Genomic DNA, 13255 nt, shown 5'->3' with positions numbered 1-13255 from the left:
CTAAAAGATGTGGTGCATTAGGTGTATGTGGGAGAGTGCATGGATGTGTATGCAAAGGCATGTGAATGTGTGTATACATGTGTGCAAAAGTATATGTGTACAAAGGAGTGTGGATATGTGTGCACAGGCGCGTGAACATGCATGCAAAGGTTTCTATGAAGCATGAGGATATATGGTAAAGGTGTGTGGTACAGCGTGCCTGCTCTTGGCCCAAGCTCCCTTGGGCCAGGATTCCTGAGTGCATGTCTGCAGGCTCCAGGAAGCTACGTGTGCACACACACATTTCAGTGTGATTCCTGCTGTCCCAGTACTGGTGGAAAGGGACTAGGCAAAGGTGGAGTAGGTGGAGTAGGGAGTGTCTAGGGGCCCATAGGTATCTCCAGACAGACACACATCAGGGGTGGGTTAGCCTGCCTGGGGATAGTGCGTGTGTGTTTCAGACATAGCCACACTGGGAGGGTGGATACATAAATACTCACACAGGCAGGTACCAGAGTTGACCCTAACTATTCCTGGCTGGGAGCTTGGGCCATTTTTATTGCAGCATCCACACCCTGGGCCACAGAGGATTTTTGTATGGCCACTGGAGGCAAGGCCACAGCTGGTTCTGGCGGGGGCAGAGTGGGGAGAGCCCTGGGTGTAGGGGGCCACCATGGCTAGGTGGGGTCTGCAAGGGGTCAGGGAGGTCCTCCCAGCCAGCACTCCCTCTTCACTGTCACCACCACTGTGGCCTTCTTGTCACCCTCCTGTCTTCACCTCCATCACTGTTGTCCCTGTCCTCGGCACTGCCTTCTTCATCTGTCATCCTGTCCCTCTGTCCAGGTGCCCATGCCCACCCTCTCTCCTTGCATCCTGGTCTGGTGCCCACTTCTTGTCCACTTGGAGCTGCTTGAGGATGGGTGAGAGGTGGGAATGAATTTGGGTTATGCTGGCTGGGAGCCGGGGTGAGGGGTGGCATGATGGTGTGCATGCGTACGTGTCTGCAGGCTCCAGGAAGGTACATCCTTTCCTGGGGCAACATTTGTCCCTGACCCTCCTACCAACCCTCTCTCCCCCCTGTTTCTGACTGCCCCATCTCTCTCTTTCTCTGTCTCTCTCCATCCTCCCATCTCTGTCTCAGTCTCTGTGTCTCACCTCTGCCATAGCCAAGGGTCCCTGTCTCCAGTTTCTCCGTGATGGCCCAGGGGAGCCGGTTCCTCCTCCCAGCCAGTGTGAACTGTTTGCCTGAGACAGTCGGTCCATCCACTCAAACAACCACTCAATTCAGACTCCTCGTCTGACTGACGGGTTTTTTTTTCTCCTGCTAAATTTACTTGCATTTTTGACTGAATTGGCCATTCAACAGAGGTTGTGTCCACATGCCCCTTCCCCACCCATGCCAACAGATGAACAGGCTTGCAGACAGACATGCACACAGAGCCAGGAGCACGCAGACATGCTCACGCCCACGCAGAGTCACAGCCTCGTGCCCATGGTGACACGTGGAAGCACGCAAGACGACACACTCCCACACAATCACACGTGTGGCCTCATCCTCTTGTCCATGGTTACACACACATAGACTATCCACACCCGTCCAGTCACACATGTTCACACCTCGTGTGGCAGTGTCTGCATGTCCTCACACCTATTCTGGGGAAACCTTGGGGAAATGGAGGCAAGGGGAGGGAGGAATGTGGCCCAGGGTGCAGCGCTGGGCAGAGCCCCAGCCCAGCACCCAGGGCAGCCTTTGCAGTCTCCTCCAAGGCCGGCTCATGGAACACCCTCCTTTCTTCCTCAGCCCGTCTAGGTGGGGCTTCTGGTCATTTCAGGCCGCTGCTGAGCCCCTGCAAACCTCAATAGCAGCTCCCAGACCCCGATCCTAAAAGGGGAGTCTTTTTTTTTCTTCCAAGGACAATAAATATTTGCTCTTTGGGAAGCTGCTGGTGGGAGAGTACAGGGTTTGGCCCAGTGGCAGGGAATGTCCAGGGCAGTTCAGGGAGGCCACAGGCCATGCTGTGGGGGGAGGGGCCGGGCCCCTGTCCGGAAGCTGGACCAGCAGGCAGAGCTGGGGAGCTGGGGCTCAGGGCTGCATCTTGCTCCATTCCTCCTGACCCAAGCCCCAGGCCTTTGTTTTCTCAGTTCCTTTGATTAGCACATTGGCACCCCCTCCTCCCATCCCAGACCCCGGTATCCCGAACCTCACCCATCCAGAGCTCCCACAAACCCTTGGCAGCCCGAGACTCCATCTCATGCACCCAGAATGCACAGACCCAACTGATGCTCACTCTTTGGACTAAACAGGGGTGCAGTATCTCCAGACACATTTTCAATCTCCCTCCTGAGACTAGCTGCTGAGAGTGGGGCTGAGGTCCCCCAGTCCAGGCCCCTGAGAAGTCAGGGCCATGCCCTTCTTCCAGAATGGACCAAGCCTGGCCAATGCTGTCCCCATCCTGTCCCCCATGAGGCTTGGGTCCCTAGAGGCTTCTGCCTGCCCACCCCTCCCTCATGCTGAATTGGGCTCCCAAATATAGCGGCCGTGGCCACAGCCGGCCAGGACACCACAGCCCTAAGCGTCAGTCCTGGGCCGGGATCAGAGGGGCAGGAGCTGATTATAGGTCCCTGGGCCAAAACCAGGGTTTGCCTGCCAGCCCGCTGGGCCCTGCCACCCCCACCCCTAGAACCACAAGGTTGGAGCATCTGGTCCCCGTCAGCACAGTGGGCAGAGGGAGGGGCCTGAGGGTTGTGTTTGGCCTGCTCGAGGACAGAGTTGTCTGTGTGTGGTGTGGGGGTAGTGAGGATGGGCTGGGACTCAGGGGCAGAGACTGTCCTCTGAACCTGGAATCACAGTGCCCCACCCATGGCCATGGTACAGGTGGGGAAACTGAGGCCAAGAGGAGCAGGGACCAGCCCGGGTCACAGGAGCATAGGGAGTCTACTGCCTTCCCCTTGGGTACTCTTTTCCATCTCTCAAGGCCCGGGGTTGTGCCTCTGGGAGGTGGGCCCCATCCTGTTAGTGGCAGAGCGGCTTTGCTGGGAAGTCCTCCTAGGAGTCAGACTTTCATCTGAGGCTCCAGGGCCATGGGATGGTGTAGAAATTTATCTCCTTCTGCTGGTCCTTGTACCTGCCTCGTGCCATCTCTAGTCAGAATTGCTGGGCAGCTCTTGCCTCCTTGGGGCCACGGTCTCCCCATCTGTGCAACTGGACAGGGACCTAGGGGCCCCGCGTGGGGTCTGTGTTCATGGGTGTCCAGTGTGTAGCGGTGGGTTCACATCTATGTGGACACACAAGTGGGCCCTGGTAAGTGAGCTGCAGCCTACGGGCCTGCCCACACCAGGACAGGGTCCCCAGGACCTGCTGCGCGGCAACATTTGACCTACTTCTAAGGCTCTGGGTCTGGCCCAGGCCGTGTTCTCGACTCCTCCGGGAAGTGTGGGCCTGCGTCCCAGCCCAGAGGCTGTGGGCCAGGAGGGGCGGGACCGGCAGGCCAGGGCGGGCCATGGCTGCCTGCGGAGACTGCGGCCCAGGGGACAAGGGCACGTGGGGAGCCCGACCCTGTTTCCCTGCCTCTGGCTCTTAGGCCCAGGGGACAGCTGGCCCTTACCTCCTTCTGCCCACCCTCCACGTGGCAACCATAGTCTGAGCTCCCCAAATTGGCTCTGACAGGATGATGGACATTCTTCATGCCCTTCTGAACGCTACCAGGGAGGTCTGCCAAGCAGCTACCCCCGCTGTTGCCAAGAGTGTGACCCCCCGGTGCCCCTTCCCACTGGCCTTGTCCACACAGGGCCACGCTGATCTGGAAATCCGTCAGCCCTTGTCCTGGGTCCTGGGTCTGGGGTTTGGGTTTGCAGTCCTGGAAGTCTGGGTTTAGAGTCCTGGGGCTTGAGTCCTGGATCTGGGGTCTGGGTTTAGAATCCTGGTTCCTGTGTCTGGGGTCTGGGGTCCGGAGTCTGGGTTGAAGGTCCGGGTTTACCATCCTGGGTCTTGGAGTCTTTGGTCAGGGTTTGGGTGCCAGGATCTGGGTCTAGGTCTCCACAGTGGGGTCTAGTCCTGGAATCTGGGTTCTGGGTTCTGAGTTTGGCACTCAAATTGTGAGACCTGAGTCTGGGGTCTGAGCTTGGGGTTCCGGTTTCCTGATCTGGGGTCTGGGTTGGGATTCTGGGTTCTGGGGTTTGAGTTCAGGAACCAAAGGTCGGTTCCCATCCCTTCTGCGCCCCCTGCTGGCTGATCGTGGTCCAGTCACTGCCTGTACCACAGGGGTCACCCTCACCTCTTTAGTCTGTGAAGAGCACGCCTGAATTGGGGTGGGCATGGGGAAGTGGTGGGTGGGCTTGGAGGCAGCTGCTGGCCGCACTACTGTCCCAGAGTGCCCTCTGCACCGCCAGAGCTCCTGTCAGTCAGTTGGCAAATCTCCCCATCTCTCCGGGCCCACTCCAGGACAGGGTTTAGCAAGGGGTTCCAGTACCTCTGTGAGAGGTGGGTAAACTGAGATATTTGGAACATTTGTTCATCCAGCATTTATTGAATGCCTGTGGTGTACCAGGTCCTGGGAAAATGTAGCTGTGGAAGAGCAGAACATTCCTCCCTCCTGTGATGGCTGACATTCATAGGAAGGCGGACACACGGAAGACGCCAGGTAACAAGAGCCCAGAAGAAGGCCGGCGTGGCCGGGCTTTCCTGCCTTAGTCCACAGGCTCCTCAGAAGTCAGGGCCCATATCTTCCCCGCATTCTCCTTGGCTGGGGGAAGGGAGAGGTAAGTGGCTGCCTGAGAGGGCTCTGGGACATGGCGTGTGCCAGCCTGCAGCACACTGGGCTGCAGCTCAGACATCAGAGCTTTGGGAGCTGAAGCAGTAGGACCCAGACCCCCAGCCCTGGCTCTCCAGGCCCCCGAGGCCCTGCCCAGATCCTGCCTGCTAGGCTGACTCCTGAAGGGCACAAAGCTCAGGTTGGGATGTGGGAGAGAGAGGGAAGTGCCAGGCATGGTGTGGCCTGTTCTTACCGCCAACTGCTGCCCACCCTCCCTCCCTCCACCCCCAACTCCCTGCCCACCTTCCTGCCTCCTGTTCACCCCATGCCTTGCTCCTGGTCTCGGTGTGCCTGGGAGGGCTCTGGCTGGTCCTGAAGAGTGCCTACTGGGGGCTAGGCAGTTGTTATAGGTTTGAGGGTGGGCCTGTGGGTGAGTCCTGGGGCACTGTTGTTCCCAAGCCAGCAGGGACATGCCCAGAATCAGAGCTCAGGCAGTCACCATCCTGGCCCTAGCCTTCATCTGGGTCCTGATGAGGGAGTGAGGATGGCTCTGTGCACCCTGTCCCTGCTGCAGGACCACGTTTGCCCTGTGTGTGACAGGAGGGGCCCAAGCCACTGCCTTGACTCTGCCACACACAGGTGGAGGAAGGTGGCACTATGTGGCTCTGGCTGGCTGCATGAGCCTGCCCATCCCAGATCACAGACCTGGACACTGAGGCCCAGGATGCTCTTGTCACTGGCTTACCCCCATTTGGGCCAACGTTGGGTGGTTTCCAAGGGGTGGTAATTGTGTGAGGATGAAAGAAATGAGATGGGAGAGAGGGCCCTGTATATGTCCTCTGCTCTGGCCCTCTGCTTCCCTCATGATGAACACAAGGAAATTGGTCTTGTTGGCGGTGTCTGTGGGTGGCTGGGGCTCCCGTGTGACTTCCAGAGCCCGTTGTCCTGAGGGTCGGCAGGCCTGGGTGGTGGGGCCTCCCCGGGGCCCCTCTGTGTGGCCCTCTGGCTGTCTTCTCCTCTTGTGGTATTTCTGGCTCGTCTCCACTGACCATCCCCCCACCCCTTTCTTTCTCAATACTGTTGCCAAACATTTGGAAGAAAAGTGAAAAACTTGCCCCCCCGCCAGTCCCGGATGTTGTCAGATTTCCAGATGTGGGTGTTCTGCCCTCCAGATGAGAGGCAGAACGTGTTCCAGTCAGGAGCGGGCTGGCCCCAGCCCTGGACTGCTGTCCCTCCCTGTGAGGCGGAGTGACAGGATGAGAGGGACTGGGCCCAGTAGGAAGACAGCAGGGCGTGCCAGGTAGAGGCCCTGGGCCCCACAGCACCTCTCAGCCTCAGGCTTAGCCCCTTGCCACACCAGGGAAATCCCTGGCTTTGAAGTTTCTATCAAAGGCTCCAGGCACTTAAAAGTAACCAGGAGCACCTCCTTCCCACCCCCCAGGCACAGATGCTGGGCAAGGAACAGAGCCCAATGTGTTTACAAGATGTCCCCACTGTTGGCGTCCCCATGCGGGAAGAGCCTTGTGCCACCTCAGCCCTCCCACCTCCCCAAGTGGCAGTCCCGTCAGGCTGTACTCTGTCACTGTCATCTGCTGAAGGCTGGGCTTGGGATGGACCCTGGGGGCCGGGCACTGCAGGATGGGCACTGGGGGTGGGCACTGAGTGGTAGGAACAGGGAATGAGCATCACTGCACTGGGGCAGACCCTGCTTGGCAGCTTGGGGTTCCTCAGAGAGGCAGACCCTCTCAGAGCCCCTGCCAAAAGGGTCGGCAGAGGGCAACATGTGGCAGTGGAATAGCATTGGAGAGAGCTTTCTGGAAGAGGGCCAGTAGAGCCAAGCCTTGAATATGTCAGGCAGAGGGGGCGAGGGCACTCTGGGCAGAGGGTGCAGTGGGGAGCCAGGCCTGGGGTGTGTAGGGAAATGTGCATCCCTGGGGCCTGTAGAGAGGGGAAGTAGGAATCTAGGGGTGAAAGCTGAGAAACTGGTCCCTGGGCCAGCAGGGGCTGAAGAGGGAGGCTGCTGAACTGGCCTGGGGCGACTGCCCTAGAGGGAGCAGCATCCTTTCTCTTGCCCTTTGTGGGGGTTCCTGGAGACCCTTGGACCCATAGCCAGGGCTACAGCTGCCTGCCATGACCAGACACTCACATACAGACACATGTAAACACCCAGACATAAACACACAGAAGCAACACCCGCAGACACACTCACATAGACACATAGACACACCACGCACACATAAAGACCCAGACCCACAGAGACAAATGCAGACACCCGGGCCATCCCTTACATAGACACAGATACGGAGCACACATAGGCACGCACAGAGCCCCCCACCACGGAGGCACCCAGACAATACACACAGGTGTACACAGACCCCCCTCCACACAAACACAGACACAGAGAGACCCACAGACACATAGACACCCCGACACAGACACAGACAACACACACAGACACATGCTGACTTCCGCCTTCCCCCACATGGACACGGTCATAGACACAGACACAGACACAGGGGACTTTGGAGAGCTTAAGTTCAGAGGTGCCCTTAGATCATCCCAGTCCTTCTGGCCCCAACACAACACGTAGCATGTACTTGGTCCACCCTTCTTCACCTCTTCAACTTACGGACCTGCAGAGAGGCAGCAGGGCCCTGTGTGGGTATGTGCGGGTGTGCAGATGAGTGTGTGTGTATGTGTGTATGTGTGTGTTAAGCAGTGGCCTTTGTCCCCCTCTCTCCCTCCCCCTTCCCAACAGGTGATTGGGAGGAATGGAGATCCCTCCTCCACTACCCATTCCTGAGCCTGAACAATGCCCTCCCCAGGCCCCAAAATAGCCCCTAAGCCTAGCCATATCCTTTTATGGCCCTGTCCCTATTGTGCACTGCAGGGGTGGGGCTGGGGTCATGAGGTATCCGGGCAGGATAAAGGCCTGGGTGAGGCGGCTCACCTACCCTGCTTTCTGCATTCTTCTCTCCACATCCCTCTCTGTACTTACAGCCCCCAATGGCCCCCAAAAAGCCAGAGCCCAAGAAGGATGATGCCAAGGCAGCCCCCAAGGCAGCTCCAGCTCCCGCACCTCCCCCTGAGCCTGAGCGCCCTAAGGAGGTCGAGTTTGATGCTTCCAAGATCAAGGTGGGTATGGAAGCTGGGTGGTGGCAATAGGAGCAGGGCAAGTGAGTGGATCCCAGAGTGGACCTAGCAAGAGGCAGGTCAGGCTCTGGAGGTGAGCACTGAGCTGACGCTGGAAGCTTCTGTGCAGAGGTCAGACAAGCCCTGACTGCTTCAGGCATCAGAAGGGCTGCAGCAGGAGGGATGGTGGTCAGACGTTCTGCAGGACTCCTCTGGTGCTGCTGAGAACTAAGGTGGAGTCTAGACTGGGGTTTGAGTCTGGACTGTCTTTTTAGTGGTTTTGGAAATGGACTCTCCCTTGCCCTTCTTCCTGGACTTCTCATCCTTGGGGAATCCTGGAGTCAGCTGGAGCCAGGCAGGGATTTTCCTTGTTCAGCTGAGGGGTCCCAAGTCCATACACGCTCCCAGCGTGGATGAGATAGGGAGTAAGAAGAAGCAGGGCCCCTGTCCAGGCTGGGTCTCGTTCAAATCACCGAGCCCAGAGCTGGTAGAGCACTTCCAGGCCTCAGCTTTTAGGTAGGGAACTTGAAGCATCAGCTGGCTGGGGACATTCTGAAAGCTGTGCAGGAAGCTGGTCATGGAGCTATGACCAGTGGCCCCAGGAGCCCTTCCCCAACTGCAAAGTCTTTCTCAGAGTCTAAACTTGGAGGGAGCCATGACTCCCACCTGTGGTATCTGCATAGCAGCACGTACCCTGTGTCCTGCCTGCTCCCTGTTCTTGGCTGGGACCACTGCTGCCCTGGCTGCCTCCTCAGGAGCCCTGTGGAACCCTCGCCATCCCTGCATGCCCAGCAGGACCTACATTCCATCGGTGAAGTCTTGCCTCCTGTTCATGAGCCCTTCCCAGAGACACCTACCATGTCCTTTGAGGCAAGGGTTCAAATCCCAACTCTGCTCCATTTTAGTTGCCAAGTTCTTCGCTGCTCTGAGGCGTGGTTTCCTCAGCTGTGAAACAGAACAGCAAGTCCCCTCTTGCAGGGCTGCTGGGAACCATTCAGAGTATATGCACCTGGAGTTGGCCACCCAGGTCCCAGGCTTGCATTCTGCAGGCCTCATGGTGAGGCTGTGACCACAGCCACGGCCCATAGTGGCATTGTCCTTTCTCGCCAGGCCTTAGGTTGGCACAGACTTCCTTCTGAGAGGTGGGGACAATGAGACCCCTCATGCGCCCTCTTCCCCCATCCCCAGGTTGCAGGTAAAGGGCAGGGAGCCTTTGCCAGGAGCCCAGAGACCCTAATCTCAGTAGGCTTCCTGGTGGAGAGAGCTCTCAGGGAGCCAGGAATGACAACCTGTTCTTCCCAACACTGGGTCAAGCCAGAAGCCAGGAGGGACAGTCATGGTAGGGTGGCCCTGAACAGGGTGTCCCTCTGTGCCGGCATGCACTGTGGAGATTGGTGGGGCTCCGTGGCAGCAGCCATGAGAGAGACGCCAGTCATGCCCCTCCCCCAACCTCCTTTCCCTTGTGTGACCTTGACCTTGGGGCGAGTGACTGCAGTGATAAAAATAGACCTGGTATCCGGTGAGGAGGGGGACACTGGATCCCGGGAGGCCTCTTGATTGACGTCAATCAAGGTGGCCCCAATGTGACTTCAGCAAACACTCAGCAGCACTGCCCTGGCCCTGTGCTGTCCTGGGGTGTGGGAGCTTCCCAGGGACCTACGGACAGGGTGTGTGAGAAATAGGTATAGTGGGGCTGGTGAGTGACTGCCTGGTCTTTAGGGCTTAGGGGGCTCTGTGAGGGCAGACGTATGTAGACACATGCTCACACACAAACATGCACACTTGTGCTCACCCTCGATGCTTCCAGCCACCAGCCCTCGGCCTGTACCATTGCCCTTACTCCTTCTACCACCCTGGGCCCTCCCATCTCACTTTTGCTGACAGTCCTGCCCACCAGGCCCCAAGCAAAGCCAGCCTGACTGGGGCTTGTGGCTTAAGGTACATCTGTCCAGAACCGGGAGCATCAGGTAAGGCCCACGCTGGCCTGAGGCCTTGGGCATGTGGCCTCCCTCCTCACTGCTACCCCTGCCAGGGTCCACCGAGCATCAGGGCCTCGGTGCACACAGCCTCAAGGCCTTCTGGCTGGAGAGGTGGAGGGGGGCAAGGAGGCAGGAGGGCGTCAAGATGGACTGCAGGAGGTCCTGGGGGTGCAGGCTGGGATGCTGGAATGGGACAGGCTGAGACAGTTGACATTCTGGGCTGGCCACCGAGTGCCCAGGAGGAGGTGTGGCCCCACCTTTTAAGCCGGGCATCTGAGTCTTTGGGGTCTCTTTTCAGATTGAGTTCACACCTGAGCAGATTGAAGGTGAGCAGGGGTCTTGAACCCAGGGGTTGCAGGATTGGGCTGGGGTTCCCTGGTCTGAGGGTCCTGCCAGGGGTGTGGGGAGTGGGGTAGGCTGACCCTGGGAGTGTCTGTGGCTCACTGCCCTCTCCTGGCAGAGTTCAAGGAAGCCTTCATGCTGTTCGACCGCACACCCAAGTGTGAGATGAAGATCACCTACGGGCAGTGTGGGGATGTCCTGCGGGCGCTGGGCCAGAACCCCACACAGGCAGAAGTGCTCCGTGTCCTGGGGAAGCCAAGACAGGAAGGTAGTGCACCTGCCCGAGAGCCCCCATAGTGTTAGTACCGGGGAGACTGGCTGGGTGGGCTGCCATCCATCCTGCGGGATAGCACGAGAATCTTTCCTGACATCTCGCATTGTCCCGATGAGGGCACCGAGGCCAGTCACAGGGCCATGCCGACCAGGTGACATGCAGTAATGGTTTGCTGGAGCATCTGGATCCATGCTGATTTGCCAGGCCCCCTGGTGGTAGGCGCTGACACCTATGGAGAAGTGAGAAGGTCGGGCAGTGACAGCAGTGGGCAGTGGGATGCTGTCATCCCAATGCTTTGGGAGGATCACTTGAGGCCAGGAGTGAGACCAGCCTGGGTAACATAGTGAGATTCTATCTCTACAAAAATTAAAAATTTAGCTTGGCATGGTGACATGCACCTATGGTCCCAGCTACTCAGGAAGCTGAGCCAGGAGGATCCCGTGAGCCCAGGAATTTGAGGTTGCAGTGAGCTATAATCACACCACTGTACTCCAGTCTGTGTGACGTAACAAGAAGACCTCGTGTCTAAAAATAAATAAATGAATGAATAAATACATAAATGAATAAAATTTTAAAGCTAAAAAAAAAAAAAGGAGTGAGGCCCAAGCCCCCACCAAGGGTTCAAAAGTCCCAGGGAAGGTCTCTGATTGGCCTAGCTGCTCCTGACCCAATCACAGGTGGTGGAGGGTGAGGTCTATAAGAAAATGCCACGAGGGGAGGACTGTTTCCCAAAAGTAGGCAAGGGGTTCTGGACAGAGCCCTCCGTGGTGGCTCAGGGCAGCAAACTCCCTTTGTGAATAGCAAAGGGCTATGGAAACAGTGCATTGCTCAGTAGACTGTAAAGTGCCTCGCGATGGTAGTTTGCTTTTAAATGGCAAACTGGTGTAGACTGCTGTGAGAACTGGTGTAGACTGTTGTAGAACTGTGTGAGAGGTGGGGATAGCTCCTCATTATCAGGCATGGGGGAGGGGTGTGCCCACCCCAGCCTTAGACCCTGGAACCTGGGACCATTTCTCTGCAGAGCTCAATACCAAGATGATGGACTTTGAAACTTTCCTGCCTATGCTCCAGCACATTTCCAAGAACAAGGACACAGGCACCTATGAGGACTTCGTGGAGGGGCTGCGGGTCTTCGACAAGGAGGGCAATGGCACTGTCATGGGTGCTGAGCTTCGCCACGTGCTGGCCACGCTGGGTGAGGGCAGCCTCCTCCCCTACCCCAACTCCTTCCAGGGACATCCTGGGAGAAACCACTCTGTTGCCCCCCAGGCCTGTGACCCATTGGTGAAATGGAGAGAGTTACATAATTAGGGAGCCTCAATGGCAGACAACAGAAATGTTACTTAGGAGGAGAGTAAAGCAAGCATGCTGGTGCAGCTCACAGAAGGGGGATGACATCAGCTCTGGGGACAGAGCAGGGCAGGAAGGAGCCGTCTTGATATGCTCCCCTCCTTCCCACGACTCCAGGCCACCGTCCTGGTGGTCATTACTCCAAGGTCAAATTCCAGGGCCACAGCCCTAAGTGGTCAAGCAGGTCAAGTGCCTGCCGCCTGGGGGGATCCTGACCTCTGTGGAGCCCTGTGTACCTCCCACTTATACCCCTACCATCGGCTGCCTGCAGCAGGGGGTCCCTCTTCAAAGTGATTTTTTCCTGCAGCAAACATTTGAGTGTCTACTGTTTCAGCTCCGTGCTGGTCTCTCTCTCCTCTCTCTCTCTGTGTGTGCATGTGTGTCTAAAGGTGGGGGTAAGAAGGGGGAGCTGCGGCTGGCATTTTGAAGGGGGGCCAGCACAGCACACAGAAGTACGGAGGCAGGAGAATACCAGACTTGGGGAGCAGCGGGTGGTCTCTTGGCTCCCTCCACCACCCTCTCCCAAGATCCCCAACTCCACCCCATGGGCCCTTCCTCTAGCCTCAAGGGGCTGCCCCAAGGGACTGCTTCTAGGGAGCCCTGGCTTCGTCCTGGCGGAGGGACCCCCTCCCAGCCTAGTGGGACAGAGGACAGCACGTACTGCACCCCAGGCCCCTTCTTAACTTGTCACTGATTCTCCTGGCCTCAGAAATGGGGTGATGGCCAAGGTCTTGTGAACAGTGCTGGTTGTGGGAATACTGGAGAGGTTGAGCCACCATCTAGAGGGATTCAGTGGGTGCCCCCACCCCATCATGCCTCTGCACGCACGGTGCTGACTCAGCCTCCCACTCCTGCCAGGTGAGAGGCTGACAGAAGACGAAGTGGAGAAGTTGATGGCTGGGCAAGAGGACTCCAATGGCTGCATCAACTATGAAGGTGGGCTCAGCAGGGGCAGGGGTCTTCTGGGAGGGGAGTGCTGGGACCCAGGCTCCCAGCCATGGCTTCCCCATGTTGCACTCCTGCCACTCACTCTCCTCTTCTTTCCAGCATTTGTGAAGCACATCATGTCCAGCTAAACCTCGTGCCCAGGTAGGCACCCACTCCCTCCTGAACCCGCTGCTGCCACCTGCCCACACTCCACCAGCTGCAGTGCTCACTTGACATCCTGCTGCCTCCGTCTCCCTCCTCCTCTGTAATCTGCACTGCCTTTGCTCTCAGGAAGCCCAGGGAAGGCTGTGCAGGGACGTCTCATCTCCCATGTGTGATGCTGACACCAGCGGCCTGGAGTCGTGGGAAGGAGGGGAGCCTTACCAAGACTCCTGCAAAAACCCTTGGACCTCTCCACGTGGTTGCCGTCTCTGGCCCCTCTCAGGCTGTGCTTACCTGTGACAGCAGCTCTGTCCCCACCCCATGGGCCTCATGAATAAATGGCTTCTTGCCGGCCTTCC

General features: G+C 57.8%; 1 protein-coding gene across 6 annotated transcripts in view, besides 1 other annotated feature; it reads left to right on the top strand.

Moving 5' to 3' along the window:
- MYL3 (myosin light chain 3) overlaps positions 1-13255 on the top strand; it is a 24311-nt gene extending 11056 nt beyond the window's left edge. Inside the window, exons 2-9 of one of the 6 annotated variants that reach the window (NM_001406939.1) lie at positions 4527-4619; positions 7731-7865; positions 10140-10167; positions 10302-10451; positions 11479-11652; positions 12666-12743; positions 12855-12896; positions 13026-13255. In NM_001406939.1, coding sequence (NP_001393868.1) covers positions 7737-7865; positions 10140-10167; positions 10302-10451; positions 11479-11652; positions 12666-12743; positions 12855-12883 — 588 coding nt within the window. In that variant the 5' untranslated portion in view covers positions 4527-4619; positions 7731-7736 and the 3' untranslated portion in view covers positions 12884-12896; positions 13026-13255. Of the gene's footprint in view, positions 1-4526; positions 4738-7682; positions 7866-9442; positions 9830-10139; positions 10168-10301; positions 10452-11478; positions 11653-12665; positions 12744-12854 lie in introns of those variants that run through there. The other 5 variants (NM_001406938.1, NM_000258.3, NM_001406940.1 and 2 more) reach the window with 5 other exon arrangements.
- Positions 10331-10831: an enhancer, noted in NCBI's record as "H3K4me1 hESC enhancer chr3:46901786-46902286 (GRCh37/hg19 assembly coordinates)". NCBI's record gives its function as "activates a minimal SCP1, AML or CMV promoter by ChIP-STARR-seq in primed H9 embryonic stem cells {active_cell/tissue: H9 hESC(primed)}" and the evidence as "EXISTENCE:reporter gene assay evidence [ECO:0000049][PMID:30033119]".

Source organism: Homo sapiens, chromosome 3, assembly GCF_000001405.40.
Source record: "Homo sapiens chromosome 3, GRCh38.p14 Primary Assembly".
Lineage (NCBI taxonomy): Eukaryota > Metazoa > Chordata > Mammalia > Primates > Hominidae > Homo > Homo sapiens.
The sequence above is the reverse complement of the archived record's forward strand: the minus strand, read 5'-3'. Positions and strand labels throughout refer to the sequence as shown.